This window comes from Homo sapiens, chromosome 2, assembly GCF_000001405.40.
Source record: "Homo sapiens chromosome 2, GRCh38.p14 Primary Assembly".
Classification (NCBI taxonomy): Eukaryota; Metazoa; Chordata; class Mammalia; order Primates; family Hominidae; genus Homo; species Homo sapiens.
The window spans coordinates 113802266-113828535 of NC_000002.12; the positions used below are offsets into that span (position 1 = coordinate 113802266).

General features: G+C 42.4%; 1 long non-coding RNA gene across 1 annotated transcript, besides 2 other annotated features; it reads right to left on the reverse strand.

The window, feature by feature from the left end:
- Positions 1–1185: 1185 nt before the first annotated feature.
- On the reverse strand, positions 1186–17135 carry LOC105373570 (uncharacterized). Its single transcript, XR_923227.4, has 3 exons — positions 16170–17135; positions 13174–13249; positions 1186–1830 (listed from the first exon to the last, which is right to left on the reverse strand). It is a non-coding gene; the product is annotated as an uncharacterized LOC105373570 (long non-coding RNA).
- Positions 15715–16216: an enhancer, noted in NCBI's record as "H3K27ac hESC enhancer chr2:114575557-114576058 (GRCh37/hg19 assembly coordinates)". NCBI's record gives its function as "activates a minimal SCP1, AML or CMV promoter by ChIP-STARR-seq in primed H9 embryonic stem cells {active_cell/tissue: H9 hESC(primed)}" and the evidence as "EXISTENCE:reporter gene assay evidence [ECO:0000049][PMID:30033119]".
- Positions 16217–16716: an enhancer, noted in NCBI's record as "H3K27ac hESC enhancer chr2:114576059-114576558 (GRCh37/hg19 assembly coordinates)". NCBI's record gives its function as "activates a minimal SCP1, AML or CMV promoter by ChIP-STARR-seq in primed H9 embryonic stem cells {active_cell/tissue: H9 hESC(primed)}" and the evidence as "EXISTENCE:reporter gene assay evidence [ECO:0000049][PMID:30033119]".
- Positions 17136–26270: the final 9135 nt, after the last annotated feature.

Consider the following 26270-nt stretch of genomic DNA (forward strand, 5'->3'; position numbering starts at 1 on the left):
ATTAGTGACACTGTTGTTTAAAGAAGTGGCACATAGAACCCATTAGAAAAAGATTTTGAGCAGTTTCAATTGATATGGAAAATTTCCCACAACAAAAGAAACAAGCAACAACAAGCAAGCTAACAAAAAATTGTCAAACAGCTTCTCCAGTCCTGGCAATTCCAGAGTTACTGGTTTGCTGCATCAGTCTCTTAATAACCTCAACAGGATGAGGCTGCTTTCTTGAAAGGTGACTTAGCAGTGACTTAGGAATCAAGAAGCAAAATCAAAATTTAGTATTGAAAGACCATGATTACAAAAGCAAAGACCTATCTACTTTTCTACAGGGTTGAAATAACTGATGCATGGTAAACATTTTATACTGAGTTAGTTAGCAAAAGTATTAGAATTTGCAGAGAAAAAAAAAATCTTCATTCCAGCCCTAAATAAGGGATTTAGATTCCAGCCTTAAATCCAAAGATAATCCCTTGGATAGAAGTTACTGGCTCACACCTGTAATCTCAGCACTTTGGGAGGCTGAGGTCAGGAGTTGGCTGACCAACATGGTGAAATCCCATCTCTATTTAAAAAAATACAAAAATCAGCCAGATGTGGTGGCAGGCACCTATAATCCCAGCTATTAGGGAGGCTGAGGCAGGAGAATCACTTGAACCAAGAGGGCAGAGGTTGTAGTGAGCCAAGATTGCACCACTGCACTCCAACCTGGGCAACAGAGTGAGATTCTGTGTGAGAAAAAAAACAAAGAAGAAGAAGAAGAAGAAGTTACTTAAATTTACCAAGCATACAATTTTTCATTTATAGAATGAAAGTAATAATACCTGCCTCATAGATGTGATGGAATAATATACATTGTTAAGTACATCATACAGGTATTCAGTACAGTACTGGGCATAGGACTAAGCAATCAATAACTTTTGCCATTAGAAATCACATCAGTAACAATAATAAAACAGATTCCCACTGGGGGAGTTAAATCACCCAAGTTACTCCAGACTCACTCTAGGAAGGGCTTCTGAAAACCTCACATAACTCAAAATACGCATAATTTCAGACAGATTTTTCCCTTAAGAATGAATGTAATGCAAGAAATAGCCTCCGTGCACATAAACCTAGGGCATTGTAGTGCATTTCTTATAACAAACTTACTATTTAATGCAGAATGAACAAATTTTAGTGTGAGGAATTTACATTATTTCAACTTGTGTGCATAAAGTGAGACTTTAATAATATTTTTCATCTCTCACTGTTTCGAATTTGCTAATTCAAATTAGTGCAAAATATGACTGCACTGTTTATTCAGAGGCCACTCAATATCAGTGGCTATCATCTGTATAAGAAATGAGGCACAGGGGAGTGTATCATAGTATTCGGAAATATATACTCTAAGTAGAGGGGAAACAGTCGGAACTGTAAAACCTGAAACACCCAGAACTTAAATTATTGGAATTTCTTTTACAACTGGGAAGCCCATAAAAAGACACATTTTATCTGCAAAGAAACAAACAGAGGAATGCAAAACACTAAACTAAAACCCCTTCCTTCATTCCCAAGACACTTGCTGTGATGGGAGAGGAGAATACAAAAGCACGGGACAAGAGGGTCTCCTTACCAACTTCATGAGCAAAGCCCAATTTCTCGTAAAGATTTATGATTGTGGCTGCAAGTTTGGATTTATGTGCTTACACTTCTGCCTCTTAGAGGTAGACAAAAAGCCCTACCTGGGACCTTATGTCCAGATTCCACACTTAAAGCCAGATTTCCACTCACATGCTAGTCTGAAGATCACCATAGCGTGATAAGGCTTTACTGCCGCAATTCCAATGTCAGAAACTGGAAAAGAGAGAGTTTGGGTTTTGTTTTTGGTTTTTATTGAGAGGAAGGATTTCTTTTAGTTTATGATTCAGAGGGCTGGGCACGGTGGCTCAGGCCTGTAATCCCAGCACTTTGGGAGGCTGAGGCGGGCGGCTCACTCGAGGCCAGGGGTTTGAGACCACCCTGGCCAACATGGTGAAACCCCGTCTCTACTAAAACACAAAAATTAGCAGGGCGTGGTGACACACACCTGTAATCCCAGCTACTCTGGAGGCTGAGGTAGGAGAATCGCTACCTCAGAATTGCTCCCACAGAACCCGGGAGGCAGAGGCTGCAGTGAGCCAAGATCGCACCAGTGTACTCCAGCCTGGGTGACAGAGTGAGACTCCATCTCAAAAAAATTTTTAAAAAATTATGAGTCAGTCTTTGATCTTTAGTTATTCCTATTTTGGTTTTCAAAATGGGATGTGAATATATAATTTACATGGCAGTAATTATATTCAGGAGATAAGGTCCTGAAAACCTCATATAACTCCAAACTTGCCTAATTCTAGACAATGTATTCCTCCAGAGGAATAAATATAACATGAGGAAAAGTATTCTTAGAACACATAGGCCTATAACACTGTATAACATTTCTTAGAGCAAATATTTAAATGCTTAAAAAAATAAACTTCTCATTTTGGAATAATTTTAGACTTATAGACAAGTTGCAAACACAGTATAGAGAATTTCCACATATTCCTTCACCCAGTTTTCCCTGTTGCTGATATTTTACATTACCCAGGTACATTTGTCAAAACTAAGAAAACAACATTGATAAAGTTAACTGAACTCTAGATCTTATTTGAGTTTTTCTAATTTTTCTGCTTTCCCATTAATGCATCTTTTTTTGTTTTGGTTCTAGAATCCAATCCAATTTTAGTACTTTTGGTTTAAGGAGAATTCACATTATTTATAATTTGCACAAACTAATAACATTTTTATATAGCGCTGTTTCCAATTTGCGAAATTTAAATTGGTATGAAATGTAATTGCGCTACGTATCAAAGACTTTTCGTTGGTTTGAACAAAAGAGTAGTTGAAGAATTAGCCTACTACAGTGGCTTGAGCCAGTGGTGTTCAAATTAAAGTGGCAGGGGAGATGTGTTTTGTACTGGGTTTCAGCTGAAGATTCCATTGAAGAAAATCACCAGTAGAGAAAATCCAAGGAAACTATTCAAAATAATTTAAGAAATGCTAAAAATGAACAAACTCAAAACTGGATATGATGGCGTTATAAGAAACACTCAGAAAATTTTCTAGCCAGGCATCATTTTTATACCAATCGTTTAAGCTCTTTACTGCAAAGAACACACAAGTAAACTATGTAGTCATACATATTGCAAATTATCCTCCATTTATTATTACTATTATTAAAATAGTAAAAGCTCCTATAAATCAATAGAAAAATGGACTGAGGGTACAATCAGTTTATGACTAATAAGCATATGAAAAAATGTTCAAACTCATTTTCAAAGAAATGCATATTAAACTGCAACGCACGTATTTTTTAATTTGTCAAACTGGTGATGGTAATTCACAGTGTGGGCTTCTGTTGAAAGAATAAGGCACTCCTATGCATTGCTAAAGGGAGTAAAACTTGATACAGCTTTATTTAATGACAGCTTGGCAATATATGTTTCATTTTATTGCTAATTTAAGAACCACTCCAGGCTGGGCGTGGTGGCTCATGCCTGTAATCCCAGCACTTTGGGAGGCTGAGGCAGGTGGATCACGAGGTTAGGAGATCGAGACCAACCTGGCCAACATGGTGAAACCTCGTCTCTACTAAAAAAATACAAAAATTAGCTGGGCATGGTGGTAGGCACCTGTAATCCAGCTACTCAGGAGGCTTTGGCAGGAGAATCACTTGAACCTGGGAGACGGAGGTTGCTGTGAGCCGGGATCGTGCCATTGCACTCTAGCCTGGGTGACAAGAGCAAGACTCCATCTTAAAAAAAAAAAAAAAAAGAACCACTCCAAAATATAGTGGCTTCAATGCACAACAATTTATTATTTCTCATATTTCTCTGGATTGGTGAGGTGGTCTTCTGCTCCATGTAATGTTGGCCAGGGTCCCTAATACAGCTGTACTTAGCTGGGAGCCAGTTTGAGGCAAGAATGCCTAAGGCTCCTTCCTTTTCTACTTGTCCTTTCTTTCCATTCGGCCTCTCATCATTCATGAGCCTATCTTGAAGATCCTTCATGTTGGGTGGATTTCAAGGAAGCAAAAATGGAAGCTGACAGAGCTTCTCAAGGACAAGGTCTGAGAGTGGTGACATGCTGGAGCCAATTTGCACAGGCTCCTGAAAGCCAGCTGTGCTTGTCTATTCCCAACTCCATGGTCGGTGATATCACGCTGATAGCTTGAAATCAGCCGTGGTGGGAGTATTTACACCACAGAAATAGGCAAGTGATCTAAATTAGGGCTTTAACAAATTTTTTTATAGATCTGGTTTTCCAGAACACTATTGTCTGAAAGTCACACGGCAACTTTGTTGCCTTCTGTTTGTCCAAGCAAGTCACAAGGCCAGCCCAGAGTTCATGAGAGGGTGGGGGTGGCGGCAAATAGACTCTGTCTCTTGTTCAGAGAAGTGGCAATAAAACCATGACCATCTTGAGTCAACGACAGTCTGCCCTCTGGCAATGAATTATTTACATTCTTTCAACCCCTCCCAACATACTGCAAAGTCTTATCCTATCAAAGCATCAGGCCCAATATTCACGATCAGTTATATGTCCAGATGTGGATGTAGCTCCTCTGGTACAGCTTTCCTGGATCTAAAGACCTGTAAACTGTTTTCTGATCCTCCCCAGATACCCCTAACTCCCTCATCCCCACCAGGAATGCAATAGTTAGAAAGGGAAAGGAAACCCACAACAGACGTTCCATTCAGTTGCAGCTGGAATATATAAAATCACTTCTCATCTTCTAGGGCTTCTCCAGGTGACCTCTCTTCATTCAGTAGTCCAGCCCAAAGTTCTTTATAGCATAGTGGCTGGCTTCTGGAGGGCAAAAGGAGAAACTGCCAGGCCTCTTAAGGCTACCCCTAGAACTAGAAGAGTGTCATCATACCTAGGGTTGCCAGATTTAATAAATAATAATACAGAATGCCCAGGTACATTTGAATTCCAAATAAACAACAAATTTTTTTTTAGTATAAGTATGTCCCAATTTTCTGTTTACTTGATATTCAAATTTAACTGGTAAAAGAAAAAACTATTTTTCTGTGCTACTCACACAACACTTCTGACACCAAATGTATGGGTTTTTTGTTTCCGCACATCAACCAATTCCTCAATTCTTAGTGTACATTGACTGAGCATCTTACAATTTCTTTTTTTTTTTTTTTTGAGATGGAGTTTCACTCTTGTTGCCCGGGCTGGAGTGCAATGGCACGACCTCAGCTCACTGCAACTTCTGCCTCCCAGGTACAAGCGATTCTCCTCCCTCAGCATCTTGAGTAGCTGGGATTACAGGCCTCCCCCACTACACCAGGCCAATTTTTGTATTTTTGGTAGAGATGGGGTTTTGCCATGTTGACCAGGCTGGTCTCGAACTCTTGACATCAGGTGATCTGCCCTCCTCTGCCTCTCAAGTGCTGGGATTACAGGCGTGAGCCACTGCGCCTGGCTGCATCCTACCATTTAACTCAATTCTGACACTAACTGCCCAGAGTTAGTGCAAACCCCATAGCTTAAGGGCTCAGTCCCACAAAACCACCCCCATCCACCCACACTTCAGATGCCAATCACAAGTGATGGGCACTTATCCACAACTTCTGTATGACTTGGCTACAAATCAAAGGCTCCCACAACCACCTCTTCAGGTTCAATAATGAAACCACCTTTGCAAAATTATGAGAGTAAGAGCAATCTGACATAGTGTGCTTCAGCTAGCTTCTAACCTCCAAACTGTACTTGGTTATTCCTGGGTGTAGGCCAAGATAACTTTAGGAGGAATTTAGTTTATAGCTTAACCTTAAAGATGATAATAGCCTTTCCCAAAACTAAACCCCCTTTGTAAAACTAATGAAAGTCCACAAGGTTATGGTTATGAGAGAGGCCTGAATTCTGCTAAGATGTAAGCATAAACAATAACCAGCCATTGCTCCATAGGTCACAAGATTTGTAACCTCCCCAATTATTGCTGTAGATAACATCACTATTGTATTGTATTGTAGATCCTAAGATTGGTTTTTGAGATGTCTTTTCAGACTTTGGCATTTCTTTTTTTGTTTGTTTGTTTTTTTGTTTGTTTTTTGAGATGGGGTCTCACTCCGTTGACTAGGCTGGAGTGCAGTGGCACGATCTCAGCTCACTGCAACCTCCGCATCCTGGGTTCAAGCAATTCTCCTGCCTCAGCCTCCCAGGTAGCTGGGATTACAGTTGCCTGCCACCACGCCCGGCTAATTTTTGTATTTTTAGTAAAGACTAGGTTTCACCATGTTGGCCAGTCTAGTCTTGAACTCCTGACTTCAAGTAATCCGCCTGCCTCGGCCTCCCAAAGTGCTGGAATTACAGGCATGAACCACTGCACCCAGCAGACTTTTGCATTTCTTATCCACCCTAACCATGGGGTCCATGGCCCTCACCCAAAGGCCACACCCATATCACCTTATCTTCAGCCAATCAACATTCCCCACTCCCTAGCCCCCAACACCAAACTATCCTTGAAAAACCCTAACTCTGAGCCTTTGAGGAGACTGATTTGAGTAATAACTCCACCTACTGCAATGCTGAAGTCTCAGTGAGTTGATTTTATCTGTGCACCCATTGGGCAGTTACAATAATTTGCTAGAATGGTTCACAAACCTAGGGAAAGCTTATTTACTATTCCTGATTTATTACAAAAGAAATTTTAAAGGATATATATATAAACAGATGGAAGAGATGTGAGAAATAAAATAAAATCCTAATCCCTCCAACCAACAAAATGGACCCCCTCTTGGCCAAGAGTACCCCCAAGAAACCTTGAAAATTGAGTTTCTAGCGATGACTCGATGGGAGATAGGACACATCTCATTATACCCCCTTCCTTGCTAGCTGCCGTTAGGCTTTCTTCCCTAAGGGTTAAACAGAAACCAACCCTTTCAAAAGACTCTTTGCACCACTGATTTCAACCAACCATCTGACACTGCTCCTCCCTTTTTGGATTTTGACAAAGCAACTGACCAGCCTTCCTTCCTGATAAGACACCACTGACAACGGAGTGGTTCTGGCCAGTCTATGGAGAATGCACAATAAGGGTTTTCATGTCCCGTGCTTCACCTTTTGACATAAGAGGGCTGAAAACTCCATCCTCAGATTATGCTAATGAGGCCATTTTTTTGAACAGGGATCCCATGAAGGGACATGAAGCTCAATTGTGCATGCACACATTTCTCCTTTCATAAATATTCATGTCTCCTCCTATAACTTATTAAATATGTATATTCAGCCACCCTGCTCAGCATAAATTCATGTTCCTTTTGCCACTCCCTCAAAATGTCTGTTTCCAGCTTCTGCCCAGAGGCTACATTTCTCAGCCTGCCAGAATAGCCACCCTCAGGCTGCAACCCTTTATAAAGAATAAAGCTCTCCTTTACAAATTTATGAACCTCATCATTCTTCAGTTGACAGATGCATGGGACAAGGTATAGAGGTGGGGTATGCAGCTTCTATGTCCTCTCTGGGTTACCACTCTCCTAGCACCTCCATGTGTTCATCAACCTGAAAGCTCTCCAAAACCCTGCCACATAGGGTTCTCATGGAGGTCCATCACATTGCCATAGCATAATTAATGAAATCATTGGCCGTTGGTGATTGAACTCAATCTCTAGCCCCTCTCCCTTCTTTGCAGGTCAGAGGATGAGCTGAAGGGTCCAACTTGTTCAAGCCTCAATCACCTGGTTAGTTCCCTTGACAAACAGCTCCTCATTCTAGGGCTTTCCAAAAGTCTTTTCCCTTACAAAAGACGCTCCTTTTCCTCTATAAGAAATTTCCAAAGGTTTTAAGAGCTATGTGCCAGAAACTGGGGATGAAGACCAAATATATATATCTTATTATATCACAATATTATAACTGGGTATTTTATTTGGTGGCCCTACTTCCACCATATTCTACAGGCAAGTCATCCAGGGATAAGGGAGTGACATCACCTTTTGATGGGATGAGTGGCTTGCTTGTACAGGGAAGAGAGGAGTTAATGGTGTTCAACTTTGCAGACTACCACCCTATAGCAAGAGCCTTGAAAATGTATACTTCACTGTTAAACCAGTGATTCTATTTCTAGTGATTTACTTAAGCACATGAGTAAATATGAGCCAAAGATTTAGCTACATGGATGTTCATTGTAGAAGTGATTATAATAGTGAAAAATAGAAAACAACCTAGATATACAAAGAGACAAATTTATTTACTAAATTATAGTATATCCCTAAACCAATGCTATGTAACTGTTAAAAGTTATGTAGAGAGTATCCATTTCTTTATTCTTTTTTTTTTTTTTTTTTTTTTTTTTCTGAGACAGAGTTTCACTCTGTCACCTAGGCTAGACTGCAGTGGCGTGATCTCAGCTCATTGCAGCCTCCACCTCCCGGGTTCAAGCAATTCTCCTGCCTCAGCTTCCCAAGTAGCTGGGATTAGAGGTATGCACCACCACAACTGGCTAATTTTTGTATTTTTAGTACAGACAGGGTTTCACCATGTTGGCCAGTCTGGTCACAAATCCCTGACCTCAAATGATCCACCCACCTGGGCCTCCCAAAGTGCTGGGATTACAGGCATGAGCTACCTCACAGGCCTCTTTATTCTTTCTTATAAAACAAAAAAATGTATTGAGCTCCAAATATGTGTAAAGTACTGTGTTGAGCCTTGAGGATACAGTAAACAATGCAGCAAATTTCTGGCTTCAGGGATCATAGAGGCCAAAGAAGGAAGTTTGACGTAAAAGACATAATCTGACTAATTGACTATAAGTGGGATAATTACTCAGAGAGAAAACTATTAGGTGTTATGAAATCATCAAGGGACCTAATGTACTGGGGGCTGGTCTAGGAATAGGGGCAGGAAATGAAGGCAAAGGATAGGGGGAGAGAGTATGAGGCAGAGGAAAGAGCAACAGGATTCTAAATGTATATTCATTTACACTGAAAGATGATCATAATATACAGTTTGGTATGAGATGCTAATTAGACACCCAAGTACAGATGCCAAGTAGTATTTAGATACAGGGGATGCGACTCTGGGGAAGATTACAGTTTGATATTGATATAGTTTGGATCTGTGTCCCCACCCAAATCTCATGTTGAACTGTAATCCCCAATGTTGGAAGTCAGGACTGGTGGGAGGTGATTGGGTCATGGGGGCGGATTTTTCTCAGAAATGGTTTAGCACCATCTTGTTGGTGCTGTTCTTGTGGTAGTGAGTGAATTCTTACAAGATCCGGTTGTTGAACATGCATGCAGCCCCTCCCTCCCCTCTCTTGCTCCATTCTCATCGTGTGATGTTCCTGCTCTCCCTTTGCCTTCTGCTATGATTGCAAGTTTCCTGAGGCCTCCCCTAGAAGTGGATGCCACTATGCTTCCTGTACAGACTACAGAACCACAAGCCTCTTTTCTTTGTAAATTACCCAGTCTCAGGTATTTCTTTATAGTAACGCAAGAATGGCCTAATATAGATATATACATTTGAGAGTTACTATCCTGCAGTCAATAAGTAGACAGTGCTATTAAAAAAAATCAGGAGAGTGGGGTATTATGTAAGCCAAGATAAGAAAGAGTTTCAAGAGGTAGAAAGTGGTCACTTGGGACAAAGGCAGCTGAGGTGTTAAGACGAAATCAGAAAAGTGACCATTGTATTTGGTGACATGAAGGTCACTGGCTAATCTCTTAGAAGTTTCAGATGTAGTGGGGAGGACAGAAGTCTAATTGAAATGGATTGAGGTGAGAGAACAGGTGATGTCATGGGGAAAACCATTCATTCAGCAGCTAGACAGGAATGGGAAATCAGGAGCAAGTTTATTTGCTGGTGAATACAATCCCCTGGAGAGGGAAATCAAGAATGCAAGAGAGAAAGGTCGATTTGTAGGAGTAAAGTCCTTCATAAGTTACAAGGAGGTAAGATCCAGAGTAGAAGTGAAGGGTTAGCCTTAACTAGGAGCAGAGACACTTTCTCCTATAGAAAGAATGGGTCCCAATTCAGAATGCTAGAGAGATGAGAGAGTGCTTGTTTGCTTCTTTTTTTTGTGAATCATGAATCAAGGTCATCAGTAAGAAGGAGAGGGAGGAAAGGGGAGATTAGAAACATACCAGAATAGCTTCAGCCTGGGAGGCAGACGTTGCAGTGAGCTGAGATCGTGCTCCTGCACTCCAGCCTGGACAGAGGGGGACTCTGTCTCGAAAGAAAGAAAAAAAAAGAAAAGAAAGAAAAAGAAAGAAAATGCCCCAAGTGTACTTTACATCTCGGGTTTATTACACTAATTTGAAAATAATACATGTATACAACACTTTCACTTACCCAATAAACTCTACAGTTTCTCAGGGACCCAAACAAGAGAAAGAATGAAGAGGAGGAGCACCATCGTAAGTATCAAGAACAATAGTGCACCAGTCAAGATGAAGTTTTGGAAGAATTTTATTTAAAATCCCTAGGGGAGGCCGGGCAGGGTGGCTCATGCCTGTAATCCCAGCACTTTGGGAGGCCGAGACGAGCGGGTCACTTGAGGTCAGGAGTTCGAGACCAGCCTGGCCAACATGGTGAAACCCTGTCTCTACTAAAAAGTACAAAAACTGGTCGGGCGCCGTGGCTCACATCTGTTATCCCAGCACTTTGGGAGGCCGAGGCAGGCAGATCACGAGGTCAGGAGATGGAGACCATCCTGGCTAACACGGTGAAATCCCATCTCTACTAAAAATACAAAAAATTAGCCAGGTGTGGTGGCAGGTGCCTGTAGTCCCAGCTACTCGGGAGGCTGAGGCAGGAGAATTGGGTGAACCCAGGAGGTGGAGCTTGCAGTGAGCCGAGATCGCGCCACTGCACTCCAGCCTGGGTGACAGAGCGAGACTCCGTCTCAAAAAAAAAAAAAAAGTACAAAAATTGGCCGGCCGTGGTGGTGAGCCCATGTAATCCCAGCTACTCGGGAGGCTGAGACAGCAAAATTGCTGAACCTGGGCAGTGGAGGTTGCAGTGAACTGAGATCGCGCCACTGCACTCCAGCCTGGGTGACAGAGTGAGACTCTGTCTCAAAAAAAAAAAAAAAAAAAAATTCCCTAGGGGAATTTAATAATCACATGTTAAAATTGTATTATCTTAGTCTATTTTGTGCTGCTACAAAAATGCCTGAGACTGGGTGATACAGTTTGGCTGTGTCCCCCAAATCTCATCTTGAATTGCAGCTCCCATAATTTCCACATGGGAGTCACCGGGTGGGAGGTAATTGAATCATGGCAGAGAGTCTTTCCCATGTTGCTCTCCTAATAGTGAATAAGTCTCACAAGATCTGATGGTTTTACAAATGGGAGTTCCCTGGCACAAGCTCTCTCTTGCCTGTCACCACGTAAGACGTCTCTTTGCTTCTCCTTTGCTTTCTGCCATGATTGTGAGGCCTCCCCAGCCATGTGGAACTGTGAGTCCATTAAACCTCTTTCCTTTATAAATTACCCAGTCTCAGATATATCTTTCTTAACAGTTTGAGAACAGACTAATACACGAGGTGATTTATTTATTTCTACTTTATTCTTTTAAAATTTAGAGGCAGAGTTCCCAATGTGGCCCAAGCTGGAGTGCAGTGGCTATTCACAGGTGTGATCATTGTACACTAAATCCTGGAACTCCTGGGCTTAAGAGACTCTTTCCACCTCAACCTTCTATGTAGCTGGGACTACAGGCACCTGCTGCTGTGCCCAGCTCTAAGACTGGGTAATTTATAATAAACAGAAATTGATTGGCTTGTAGTTCTGAAGGCTGGAAAGTCCAATATCAAGGTGCCAGCATTTGGCAAGGGGCTTCTTGCTGTGTTACCATATGGTGGGAGGTGAGAGGGCAAGAGCAGAGGGAGAGAAACAGACAGACAGAGGAGGCCAAACTTGCCCTTTTATAATGGCACCAATCCCACCAGTGAGGATATAGCCCTTGTGACCTAATCGCCTCTTCAAGATTCTACCTCTTAACACTGTTGCGATGGCAATTAAATTTCAACATGAAAACAAAAACAAATTTAAAAAATAAATTTCAATACGAGTTTTAGAGGGGACAAAAATTCAAACCATAGCATTCATTAATGTTAACGTAGCAATCAGGAAAACTCCTAAGTCATGGATGGAAGAAGTTGTCAAAGTCTTATTCAGAGTCATGCATTATAGAATGAACACAGACCCAGTGCAATAATGTCTATTTTAGTGACTTAACCAATGCATTAAATTGCTTATCTAGGCAGGCGTGGTGGCTCATGCCTGTCAATCCCAGCACTTTGGCAGGCCGAGGCAGGCGGAACACCTGAGGTCAGGAGTTCGAGACCAGCCTGGCCAACATGGTAAAACCCTGTCTCTATTAAAAAAACAAAAATTACCCAGGAGTAGTGGTGCACGCCTGTAGTCCCCCCTACTTGGGAGGCTGAGGCAGGAGAATCGCTTGAACCTGGAAGGCAGAGGTTGCAGTGAGACAAGATTGTTGTTAGAAAAGAGACTAAATAATTAAATGATGTATTTATCATGGCCAAGGCAGACTAGACATGAAAGGACTTGTAAGATAAAGTCATTATGATTGAATGCAATGAACTACTGTAAATTGCACAAACTACCTGATTGACACCAAGAGTTGATACTCCTGGGAGTATTTTTCAGAAGCTATTAGAAAAAAAATGAAATTTGAGAAGAGCTTTTGGGTCATCAGCATCTATATTTAGAATCTTCATACAATCATAGATCGCAGCACTTTAGCACCAAGAGAAAAATGAAATGGGGTTATCTCCTCTTTTTATTGCTTTTTTCTTTTTCATTGAATACACTAGAAGTTTCTGTGATGAGACAAATCTAAGGCTTAAAAATAGATGTTACTATTTCCACATGGGGCTAAAATATGATCATTTAAAATGTATTAGTATTCATAGTGTAATACAAATTTTTAAAAGCATGGCCAGGCCTGGTGGCTCATGCCTATAATCCTAGCACTTTGGGAGGCCTAGGCAGGAGGATCTTTTGAGGCCAGAAATTTGAACTCAGCCTAGGCAACATAGCGAGACTCCCATCTCTATAAAAATTAAAAATTAAAAATTTAGTTGGGCATGATGGCATGCACCTGTAATTCTAGCTACTTAGGAGGATGAGGTGGGAGGATTACCTGAGCCGAGGAGTTCGAGGTTGCCGGGAGCTATAATCATACTACTGCACTCCAGGCTGGGTAACAGAGTGAGACCCTGTGTCAAAAAAAGAAAAAAAGCAAACATTTACTGAGCACTTAAGTACTAAACATTATTCTTGCTTGTACTTTTTTTTGTTTTGTGTTTGTTTGTTTTTGAGACCGAGTCTTGCCCTGTTGCCCAGGCTGCAGTACAGCAGCATGATCTCGGCTCACTACAACCTCCACCTCCTGGGTTCAAGAAATTCTCCTGCCTCAGCCTCCCAAGTAGCTGGGATTACAGGTGTGTGCCACTATGCCTGGCTAATTTTTGTATTTTTAGTAGAGATGGGGGTTTGCCATGTTGGCCAGGCTGGTCTCAAACTCCTGACCTCAAGTGATCCGCCTGCCTTGGCCTCCCAAAGTGATGGAATTACAGGTGTGAGCCACTGTGCCTGGCCTGCTTGTATGTATTATTTTAAGTAATCTTCAAAACATCTAAAACATCTTCATGCTATTTACTATTACTATCTACATTTTGCAGAACAGGAAACTGTGGTTCATCAAATCCAATATAATAAAAACAGATACTTACAAATACTGCATAACTGTTCTATGCCAAGTATATTACAGTTGTCCCTCAGTATTCTTGGGGGGATTGGTTTTAGGACCGCTGCAGATCTTTCAGGTCTGACTACAGGCAATTATGAAGGCAAAATCCAGGCATACCCAAGTCTTGCAGTTGGCCCTGGGGAAACTACCTGTATGAAGACTGGCCCTCTGTATCGTAGGTTTCACATTAGAACACTGTATTTTTCGTCCTCTTTTGGTTGTGGATGTGGAACCTGAGGATAAGGAGGGTCGACTATATTTATTGACAAAAACTCGTATATAAGTGGACGAGGATAGTTCAAACCGGTGTTGTTGAAGCTGCACTGTGTTCAGGGGATGCCGAAAGTCTGTTTGGAGGGTCAAAAAAGTTTCACAAAAGAGGTGTCATCTGAGCTGGATCTTTAAGGATAATAGCCAATGGGAGAAAGACAGATAAAATAACTGGAGGCTGGGTGCAGTGGCTCACGCCTGTAATCCCAGCACTTTGGGAGGCCGAGGCGGGTGGATCATGAGGTCAGGAGATTGAGACCATCCTGGCTAACACGGTGAAACCCCGTCTCTACTAAAAATACAAAAAAATTAGCCGGGTGTGGTGGTGCTCACCTGTAGTTCCAGCTACTCGGGAGGCTGAGGCAGGAGAATCACTTGAACCTGGGAGGCAGAGGTTGCAGTGAGCCGAGATCACGCCACTGCACTCCAGCCTGAGTGACAGAGCGAGACTCCCTCTCAAAAACAAAACAAAACAAAACAAAAACAACTGGAAAAGTGTACAGCTGGGACAAGGTCCTGGTCTCACAGGAAACTGAGCATTGACTGCAAACCTGAGCAGAAAATATGAAGTTAGAGAGTGGTGGGAAATGAGGCTGAAGATGTAATGAGAGGCCGACTGTGACGGTCATATATGAAGCTGTCAAGGTTGGGATGAATCCTGCAGTGCCACACTGCGTCAGAGACATACACACTGAGCGACAGGATCAGCTTTGGAGCAAAAGGGATGAGGTTTACAAAAAAGGTATTGTTCATGAACGTAAGCAGAGAAGCCACCTTTATGATAGGTTTCTGAGCAAATATATTAAGCTTTGAAATTTAATGACATAAAACCTGGATTTGTCACAACATATCTGCATTATGAATTGATGCTGGCAATTACCAGATAGTATCACTGGAAGGTTTTCAACTAATAGACAACTACATCACAGCTGCCACCTGCTTGACAGCGATTATAGAATGCCATCCCAATATAAGATGCAATCTGATTTTAGATATGTTAAGATGTAAGGAGGGAAACATGTTTAGAATTAATGAAATGGGGGGCACTGTATTAAAAATATATCCAAAAAGGCCGGGCATGGTGGCTCACGCCTGTAATCCCAGCACTTTGGGAGGCCAGGGCGGGTGGATCACAAGGTCAGAAGTTCAAGACCAGCCTGGCCAAGATGGTGAAACCCTGTCTCTACTAAAAATACAAAAATTAGCCAGGCATGGTGGCAGGCACCTGTAATCCCAGCTACTCGGGAGGCTGAGGCAGAGAATTGCTTGAACCCAGGAGGCAGAGGTTGCAGTGAGCCGAGACCGTGCCACTGCCCTCCAGCCTGGGCGATAGAGCAAGACTCCGTCTCAAAAAAAAAAAAAAAAAAAAAAAAAATATATATATATATATATATATATATATATATATATCTCCAAAAATCCAACCAGCTCTCCCTACTTCCAGTCTCATCTCTCTGGTCCAAACCCACATCATCTCTTTCCTGGATTATTACAGTAGTCTCCTAACAGATCTCCCTGCTTCTGTCCTTAACATCCTCTCCTCTTCTCTCCCAAATCTATTCTCAGGAGGGCATCTAGAGTCAGAGCATGTTATTTCTGCAAAGTCCTCAGTGGCTTCCCGTCTCACCCAGAGAAAAAGTTCATGTTCTTGCAGTGGCTACAGGGCCCTGCAAGACCTGGTGCCTCATTAGCTCTCTGTCTCCATCACCCCTGCCCCTCTCCCTTTGCTTGCTCCACTCTAGACAAACGGACTTCCACCTCCTGAAATTTTTACCTCTTGTACCCTCTGATTGACCTGCTCTTCTCTTGGGTAGCTGCAAGTCTCAATTTCTGAAGTGTTTCACCAAATGCCACCTTTACAATGAAGCCTCGTTTGCCTGCCTTTGACTCAAATTGCTATCACACTTGTACTCCCTAACTCTCATTTACTCCCTATCTGCCTTCCCAGCTTGCTTGCTTATTTATTTATTTACCTTTTTTGTCAGCACTTACCACTAATATAGCATATATTTGGCTTGAATATTTATTATCTAGAATGTTAGTGAGGAGTCTGGCTTTTGCTTAAGCCAAATGTGTGATCTTTCAGACCTGACTACAGGCAATTACGAAGGCCTTACCTGGCAGACCTCATACAGAAAGCTGCTGCTCTCTGAGAGACATTTGGTGCACAGCCAGTGGGTCACGGTCTCTGAAGGAAGTTGCAGTCAAGGACTCAGGCTCTCCCGGTCAGTCATGCTTTTCCTATGTTTACATTCCTGGCCCCAGAGTCTTCATTGCTAGTCTCTGGCAGACCTTGGGTAGACGTCCTTTTCAGATGCCTTTGCCAAGACCTCCTTATGCGGGGAGGAGGGAGACCTTGATGATACATTCCCCTACTCTGACTCATCACCCAGGACTTGTCCACTCCAAGCTCTCGCCGCTGCCCTCCTGCTTCAGGGTCCATAAAACTGCTTTAAGCTCTTGCTTTTACCATTGCCGTGAGTGATTAAAGGCTCGGTTCTTTTATCTCTGGCTTGTTGCTGTAACCGGCTACTCTGAGAGCTCTCTCTCTCCCAGCTCAGCTGAGCTCCTGACAATTCACTTCACAAGGGTCAGGGTTTGCTCTTTGTTTTCACTGCTGTATCTCCAGCACCTAGAAAAATATCTGGCACATATCAGGTGTTCAGCAATTTGTTGAATGAATTAGTAAGTGTCTGTTCAATTAATATAATTAATTAATTCTTGGAATAGATGCCTTGTTTTAAAATTTTATTACATATTGTTAAACCGACGTATTATACACAATGTGAAAGGAGTTATTACAATAGATTAAAGTTTCAAACAATTCTGATATTTTCATTGCCCATATGCCTTAGCTTGGGCTGCTTATAACAAAGTCCCATAAACTGGTGGCTTATAAACAGGAGGCATTTCTTAGAGTTCTGCAGGTTGCCAGTTTGAGATCAGGGTCCCAGCATGGTTGGGTTCTGGTGCGGACCCTCTTCTGGGCTGCACATGACTACTGTCTTGTTGTGTCCTCACATGGCAGAAATAGGACAAGCTAGCTTTCTGGAGTCTCTTTTATAAGGTCATTAATCCCTCCATGAGGGCTCTACCCTCATGACCTAATTACCTCCCAAAAGCCCCATTTTCTATTACACTGGGGGTTAGGATTTCAACCTATGAGTTTTTTGAGGGGGATTGGTGGGGGGACAAAAACATTCAGCTCCATTGCAGCTCACAACTTTGTTTCTTCTTCCAGCCATATAATTACAGCTAAAAGGGCCATGTTTTCTAAACTGGAAAACAAAAACAAAAACAAAAACAAAAACAAAAACAGAATAGATACAATTTTGTTTGGTGTAGCCAACAGGAAGAAGCCTTGTGAATTAATATTCAAAAGGAGAAGGGGGGCCGGGTGCAGTGGCTCACAACTGTAATCCCAGCACTTCGGGAGGCTGAGGCGGGTGGATCACCTGGGGTCAGGAGTTCAAGACCAGCCTGGCCAATATGATGAAACCTCATTTCTACTAAAAACACAAAAATTAGCCAGGTATGGTGGTGCACGCCTGTAATCCCAGCTACTCGGGAGGTTGAGGCAGATGATTTCAGCCCAGGAGGCAGGGGTTTCAGTGAGCCAAGACTGTGCCACTGCACTCCAGCCTGGGTGACAGAGCAAGACTCCGTCTCAAAAGAAAAAAAAAGAGAGAGAGAGAAGGGGTAAGATCCTGGATCTTAGGTCCTAGAGTTCCATTTGTCACTAGGTTGTCATTTGAAGGATCTATACTAACAGAAACAAAATCCAGTGTGCAAGTGGCTTTTCTTTAAGGGTTTCAAAATATCAACGGAGAAACGGAAAGCAAATTACAGAAAAATTTCTGGGGAAACTAGAGACATTTGTAATATTGTAAGCTTTCAACCCATCATTATCATTGTTACAGTTCAAGAGTTGCATGTATTGGGAATGCACTCTTGCACTGTGTATGTAAGAGCAAGGAAACAAATACTGACAGACTCAAGAGCCTTTCACTTCTTCCAAGAAGTTCCTGGGCTGCCCTAAAGCTCAGACTATCCTAGCCCAGAGGAATTCAGTCCCAGGAGAAGTTCCTAAAGGACACTATAAAGTGAAGGACTCCTGGATTGATGTGCCCTAATGAAGCCTTTGTGTATTATTGGTGCATCATTCCCACAAGTCCCCTCCCTCTAAACGCAGCTTCTTCCTACCTTACCTTTCCTCGCGTTGGAGCGGCCTGGTAAGGGATTGTCTGACAAGACCTGTGTTAGTCTGCAGTCTGGGTGAGTGAGAAAGAAACAGGATTTGACAATGGCCATACCTGGGCGTGGTGGCACGTGCCTGTAACCCCAGCCTGTAATCCTCGGCCTTTGGGAGGCCGAGGCAGGCAGATTACCGGAGGTCAGGAGTTCGAGACCAGCCTGGCCAACGTGGTGAAACCCCCATCTCTACTAAAAATACAAAAAAATTAGCCGGGCGTGGTGGCACGTGCCTGTAATCCCAGCTACTTGGGAGGCTGAGGCAGGACAATAGCTTGAACCCAGGAGGCAGAGGTTGCAGTGAGCCAAGATCATGCCACTGCACTCTAGCCTGGGCAACAGAGTGAGACTCCGTCTCAAAAAAAAAAAAAGAAGAAATAGGCAATGGCCACAATACCCCTGCATCCCTTCTCTCCCTTGAAATGTGGCCCAGTCCTTTTACGCCACCTCTAGTCCCCTAAAGCTTTTCCCGATAAGACTCATCCATCACTCACTATTCCAGGACATTTCCTATTTCCTCCCCACACATCTGAACTTTTTTTTTTTTTTTTTTTTTTGAGGCGGAATCTCACTCTGTGGCCAGGCTGGAGTGCAGTGGCCTGATCTCGGCTCACTGTAACCTCCGCCTCTCGGGTTCCAGTGATTATCTTGCCTCAGCCTCCCGAGTAGATGGGACTACAGGCACGTGCCACCACGTCCAGCTAATTTTTGTATTTTCAGTAGAGACAGGGTTTCACCATGTTGGCCAGGATGGTCTTGATCTCTTGACCTCGTGATCTGCCCGCCTCCCAAAGTGCTGGGATTACAGGTGTGAGCCACTGTGCCCTGCTTGAACTTGTTTACTCAGTATTCCATAATGTTTTCTTTCCCCTTCCTTCCTTCCTTCCTTCCTTCCTTCCTTCCTTCCTTCCTTCCTTCCTTCCTTCTTTCTTTCTTTCTTTCTTTCTTTCTTTCTTTCTTTCTTTCTTTCTTTCTTTCTTTCTTTCTTTCTTTCTTTCTTTCTTTCTTTCTTTCTTTCTTTCTGACTGAATTTCGCTCTTGTTGCCCAGGCTGGAGTGCAATAGTGCGATCTCAGCTCACTGCAACCTCCACCTCCTGGGTTCAAGAGATTCTCCTGCCTCAGCCTCCCAAGTAGCTTGGATTATAGGCGCCCGCCACCATGCCTGGCTAATTTTGTATTTTTAGTAGAGACAAGGTTTCACCATGTTGGTCAGGCTGGTCTTGAACTCCTGACCTCAGGTGATCCACCCACCTCGGCTTCCCAAAGTGCTGGGATTACAGGCGTGAGCTATCACACCCGGCCCTCATAATGTTTTCTACTAAGCCAATAAACTAAATCATAGGAAGTGATTGAACAAAAATGGCTTAAAGCACTGCCTCCTCCAGGGCACTCAGTGGTCTGTATTCCTACCAGCTTCAAATGTAGCCAATTAAAATTGCAATGGTGGACAATAGGCTTCTCCTGCTTTCTCTTATCCTGTCTGTAGCTGACCTCATCTGCCCCCTCTTGCTGACTTGCCACTGGAGGAATAATTGTACTACATGCTTGGACTGACCCATGAGTGAAGGACCAAGGGCCAGGTTGACTGGCATCTTACCTGTTCTGCAGGAACTCAAAATCCAACCTATTACAAAAGTTGAGTGGAGTTGCTGGGTGAAGCACTCTGGATCTGTTTATCACCTCACTGCACAACACTTGGACCTGAGATAAGTCCCATGACAATTGTGCTGTCATCAGAAGATTAATTTATCTCAGACATGTCAGAAAAGGGGTTGCTCAGGTGACCTAAAAGTTCATTCGCTCTACAGCTGGAAACTTCACCTTATGTGAGGTGGGATTTTGTTTGATTTTATTTAGCTATAAGGAAGACAGCTTGAATACACGTTTCTCCAAAAAAGACATACAAGTGGTCAGCAAGCATGTAAAAGGATGCTCAACATCAGTGGTCATCAGGGAAATGCAAATCAAAACCACAGTGGGGCACCACTGCAAACCAATAGGATTTCTAAAATTGAAAAAAAAAAAAACTGGGAAAATAGTCCCAAGTCCCTCTGGGGAATCCCCACAGTGCCAGGCAAATTGAGATGATTGCTCACCCGAGGGCCACCGATAAAGCAAATGGACCGTGGAGAGCTGCTGTTTGTATTGATTCCTGTAACCAAAAGGCCACGGCGGGCAGAAGTGATTACAATCTCTTCTGCCATAGGAAATAGATTTCTATGTCTTCCCCTGGTGTCCTGGGGCTCAATGCTGCCTTTACCCACCTTGGAAGAGTTACCAGAGTCCAGAAACAATTCATGACAATAAATCATAATTCAGGTTTAAAAGCACCAGAAAACACATCCCACTGGTGAAATTCTGTCTCACCCAAATATTAGCACCATGCTGGAAATTTACAGCAAAATTTAGAGTATATCGTACTGAAGACAAGCCAGGAAGAAAAAGAAAAAGAAAAAATATATAATATAAATAGAATTCCTGCCAACAAGCAGAGATTAAGTAAATCATAAATTCTAACCTGAAATTAAAACTATTGATAAAAAGTGTTCACGAGAGATGAAGACTTTCAAGATTCTATGTGCTTCCCCGGCTAAAAAATGTCCTAGAATCTTAATCACAGCTCTCTGAAACATCCATTTAATAAAATTTATAAATATACCCAACCTCAAATCCGATCTATCAGAATAAGCAATATAATATTAAAGGATTGTCATTTTATCCATCAAAACTAAATTACTTGTGTTCCACAGGGAAGATATAACATCCATTTATAATCAGCTACCAATGCTTTTGAAAATACATATTTTCTTTTACAATGAGATACATTAATGTTTTGAGTTTGGGGAACCCCAGAGACAATGACCATCAGAAAGTAGGTCCAAGCCCAGGCGATATAGGGAGACCCCATCTCAACAAAAAATTCAATAATTAGCCAGGCATGGTGGTGCATGCCTGTAGTCCCAGCTACTCAGGAGGCTGAGGTGGGGCCCAGGAGGTCAAGGCTGCAGTGGCCTGTAATGGTGTCACTACGCTCTAGCCTGGGTGACAGAGTGAGACCCAGCCCCTCCCCACCCTCACTTCCCCCAAAAAAGAAAAAGGAAAAGAAAATTCCTTCTCCAGGAATTTTATTCAGGCTCCTACATTCTATCCAAGAAACTATAAAGGAAGTGAACAAATAGTAGTAGCAAAGCTTTATGCAAAAGAAGTTACATCTCAATAGCAATACCAATGATGTGGGCCTACCCTGACAGTTCCTTAGCTTCTGTGTAGCTCATCCAAGTGATGTCTTACCATCAGCAGAACCAGACGGTTTTATAAAAATAAACTGATATGCAGACCTTTTCTCCAGGATTCATGCAAAGAAGATAATTACAATTTAAGATGAGCTGCCAAACTCTTCCTCTTCACATGATGAGCTTGTGATTTCTTAGCTGTTGCACATAAAAAAGACATTTGACCAAAAATGACTCAATTTGTTATATACTCTATAAATTTTTTTAAAAGACACCCCCTTTTTCTTCCTCCCTTCCTATCTTTATCTATATACCATCTATCTATCTATCTGTCTGTCTGTCTATCTATCTATCTATCTATCTATCTATCTATCTATCTATGTATCCTGATCTATCTATCTATCTATCTATCTATCTATCTATCTATCTATCTATCTATCTATGTATCCTGACTTTCTACAAGAGAGAGAAAAATAGAGAGAGCCAGACAGTTTTACAATTGGCAGATGCCAAAGGCATTTTATGGCTTTGGAAGTCAAACACGTTTGTTACTCAGTTGATAGATTCCACATGACAATCATAGGATGAGTTGGTTGTTTTTTCCAAGGCGTCACTACATCATGCTTCTCCTCTTGCTTAAAACTGCTCAGCGTCAGTGGTGTCCCATTCCTCAGCAATACACTTCTTTGTCATTAACTTAAAGCCAAATTCCATACTACTTCTATAATGAAACCTAAAAGAAAATCTTGGATTTCAGTGCATCCTGTTAAACTTCATTTGGTAAATGAAGGAGGCAGCTGCTGAGGAAAGCAGATGAGAAGAGGACGTGGGCTTCTATCATCTGCTACCACAACACCTGAGGCTGGTACGCCTGTCCTCAGGCCCAGGGCCCTCTTTCATTAAGCCGAAATAATAGGACTGCCTCTTTCCCTCTCACGTCCCTCTATTCAGGTTGTCTTTTAAGGACTTTTCCTCGCTCTGTTGCCCAGACTGGAGTGCAGTGGTGCAATCTTAGCTCATTGTAACCTCTGCTTCCCATGTTGAAGCAATTCTCATAGCTCACCCTCCCAAATAGCTGGGATTACAGGGGTGCACCACCGTGCCCAGATAATTTTTGTATTTTTAGTAGAGACAGGGTTTCACCACGTTGGCCAGGCTGGTCTTGAACTCCTGACCTCAGGTGATCCACCTGCTTTGGCCTCCCAAAGTGCTGGGATTACAGGCGTGAACCACTGCACCTGGCCAGATAAAGCTATTATTACCCAGATATAGTTTTATTTGATCCAGCTTCTCACAGCTTCGGAAACAGTACAGGATCCTGCTTTCCTTGAAAATAGATGCCTTTGAACCATCCACGTCCTAGGATAGATGTCACACTACATAATTGTAGTAACTACAAATTCAAAAATAGTTTAAGGTGCAAGAAGGCCTTGCGTGTTCCTCCCACCTTACTTTGGGCTTAAATGGATCAACTTTCCATTGTTTCAACTGTGAGTTTTTCAATGCAGGGAAAGAAGTTCCTCTCCTCAGGAAGGGAAAGTGTGGGAATACTTCCGGGGAGGAGTGCCGTGTCTCGTTGAAGAGTAGGGAGAAGGAACAGAGCGTGCTCAGCTGAGTCCCTTTGCTGTATTCTGTTTCTCTGTCCTGCCTCTCCTCAAGAACCCCTCCTTCTGAATCTCCATGAAGTAATACGCTTTTTATATCAGGATCTGGCCCTACAGTGGAGAGACCTAAAGTTTGGGATGGGTTGGATCAATTTAGAGGGAAGTTATTAGGGAACCCGATTTTGTCTAATGTCTATGCTTTATTCTCCAAACTAGCCCTTTCAGTAATAGAACTGGGCTTTCTTTTTTCTCCAAGCTGCCTGATTTTTCTGTTCACTTCTGAAGTGGCTTTTAAGTCAAAGGATTGATAGGAAATTATTACTTCTATAGAAACAAAGAATCCCCAAATCCTAATGGCTAAAACAACAAAGATTTATTTCTCACTCCTGATACATGCTCACTGGGGGTCTGATCATGTGTTTGACTGTGCATTGCCACACAGTGGGAGTTTAAAGTTCTTTTTTTTTTTTTTTTTTTTTTTGAGACACATTCTCACTCTGTTTCCCAGGCTGGAGTGCAGTGGCATGATCTTGGCTCACAGCAACCTCTGCCTCCCAGGTTCAAGCGATTCTCCTGCCTCAGCCTCCTGAGTCGCTGGGATTACAGGCGCCCACCACCATGCCTGGCTAATTTTTGTATTTTTGTAGAGATGGGGTTTCACCATGTTGGCTAGGCTGGTCTTGAACTCCTGACCTCAGGTGATCCACCAGCCTCAGCCTCCCAAAGTGCTGGGATTATAGGCATGCACCACCACGCCTGGTCCTTTTTTTTTTTTTTTTTAAGAGTTCTTAAAGACCAATTTCAAGTATTAGCACCACTGAGTAAGACTTTATTAGAAAATAGAACTAGAAACAATTTTCAGATTTGAATCCTGGGATGTAATTACAAGGACTGTGCCAGAGTAGTGTTTTTAAACTCAACGCTTTCTATCGGGGAACCACATTTATAATAAACAGCAAAAAGAATTATCATCGACAACTGAATAGGCCTTTTCACATCCCCCAGATCTGCTGAGAATTATTTTTGGGAATACTTAATTCAGAGCTTTTCTTTCAGGGTGTTGGCACTTTCCCTTTTTGGATATGAGTTATACAAGACTAACCTCTATTATTTCTGGATTACATGTCAGTGATGGAAAATGAATTGAGTGCTTTGAGGGGGAAAGAAATCATTACCAGAAAGATGAATAGACCGATTGTACTGGATTACTAAAAGTCAGGGCTCTGGAAAGATCTTTGGTTTGATTTTCCGGGAAACGTATCTTCTTGGATACTCTTCAGAGTTGTGATAAATTCCTCCAGCAGCAGGTGGGAGGTAGGCCTATTCATACCACACTTTCTCCTGGCCCTGGGCTTCCTAGGCTGACTTCAAAGAGAGGCCTTTTCTTTGGTATGTGGTGTTTAAAGAAAAAAACTGCTTTGAACTCTCAGATTTCAGGCATTTGGGAGACAGTCAATAGCCAGCCAGATTTACATGTTTATCACTTTTGCCATAGGATGCAGAAAACTTTTTTTCCCTCACTCAGTGAACAATGGTATTTATCTGCTCCATAGGTATATACTATGTGCCAGGTAGTACTGTGTACTGATGATACAACAATGATCAAGTCTGATACAGTTCTTACCTAACAGAGCTCTCAGTTATGGAGAGGGAGATGGATCTAGACAGGTAAACAGCTTACAATTCAGGGTGAGAAATACCATGATAAGGACATACCAGATGCTGTGGGAATCATACAGATAACAGAAAACCAAACACCACATGTTCTCACTCATAAATGGGAGTTGAACAATGAGAACACATGGACATAGGGAGAGAAACACCACATACCAGGGCCTAATGGTGGGTGGGGGGCTGGGGGAGGGACAGCATTAGGATACCTAATGTAGATGATGGGTTGATGAGTTCAGCAAACCACCATGGCACGTGTATACCTGTGTAACAAACCTGCACGTTCTGCACATGTATCCCAGAACTTAAAGTATAATAAAAGGAAAAAAAGAAAAGAAAAGAAAAGGAGATCAGAGAAGACTTTCTTAAAGAAATGACTTGTAATTTTGATCTCAGGGATCGTAAGTCATAACTAGAGGAAGAGAGGGTGAGCAAAGGCCCTGAGAGTGGAGAGAGCATGGCATATTTGAAGGACTGAGGGTAGAAAGTATGTCTGTAGGTGAAGGGAAAAGACACATTTTTTAGGGAATTGTTGAACAGGAAAGGAATAAGGTGTGAAGTTGTGCAAGGTCCTGGAATGTCTAGAAACACCTGTTAGGACTTGTGGCCTCTATCCTCAGGGAAAGTCACTGAATGGTTTTTAGCAGATAAGATGCATAATTGAATGTATGTTTCTGGAGACCACTTTGATTGTTTTATTGCAAATGGATTAGAAGAGACAAAGTCTGGAGACGGGAGTTGGAAAGACCAATGAGGCATCCAGGTGAGAGATGGTGGTAGCCTGAGATTATGTATTGGTGGTGGAAGGCACAGACTGGGTGGATTTGAGAAAAGCTTAAAGGTGGAATTGACAAGACTTGGTGACAGACGTGATATGGATGGTTTAGGAAAGGGAGGAATCTAGCGTAATACTGAAAAGGCTCAAGGTTCTGGGTTGGCAGTGAGATCATTTAGTGAGGCAGGAAACCCAGGAGAAAGAGCAGTCTTGGAGGTTAAGATCATGAATTCAGTTTGGCGCATGTTGATTTGAGGTATTTAGTAGATACTGTTGATGACCCATTCATATCCCCTTGACCAACCATTGAAGCGAGAGGCAAAATTGCCCAGTGGCTGAAACAACAGGCTATGGATACAGTCAATGCATGTTATAAATCCTAGTTCTTTCAATTAACTAGCTGTGGGTCATGGTACAACTTCTCTTATCTGTTTCCTCCTCTCTAAATTGCAGACAGTCACTATGTCATGGGGTTGCTATACATATTAAATACCTGTAACTTATAATATAATTTCCCATGTAAACTCCATCATCAAGCAACATCTGAACTCTGCATGGGGGAAGGCTCTTCTCTCCTTGTCCACTAAGCACTTGATATTTGTGTTTGTAATTATATTACAGGTATTTTCATATCAGTATTGTCTTTATTGACATAAGCCCTCAGCAGTAGTGTATTAGTTTCC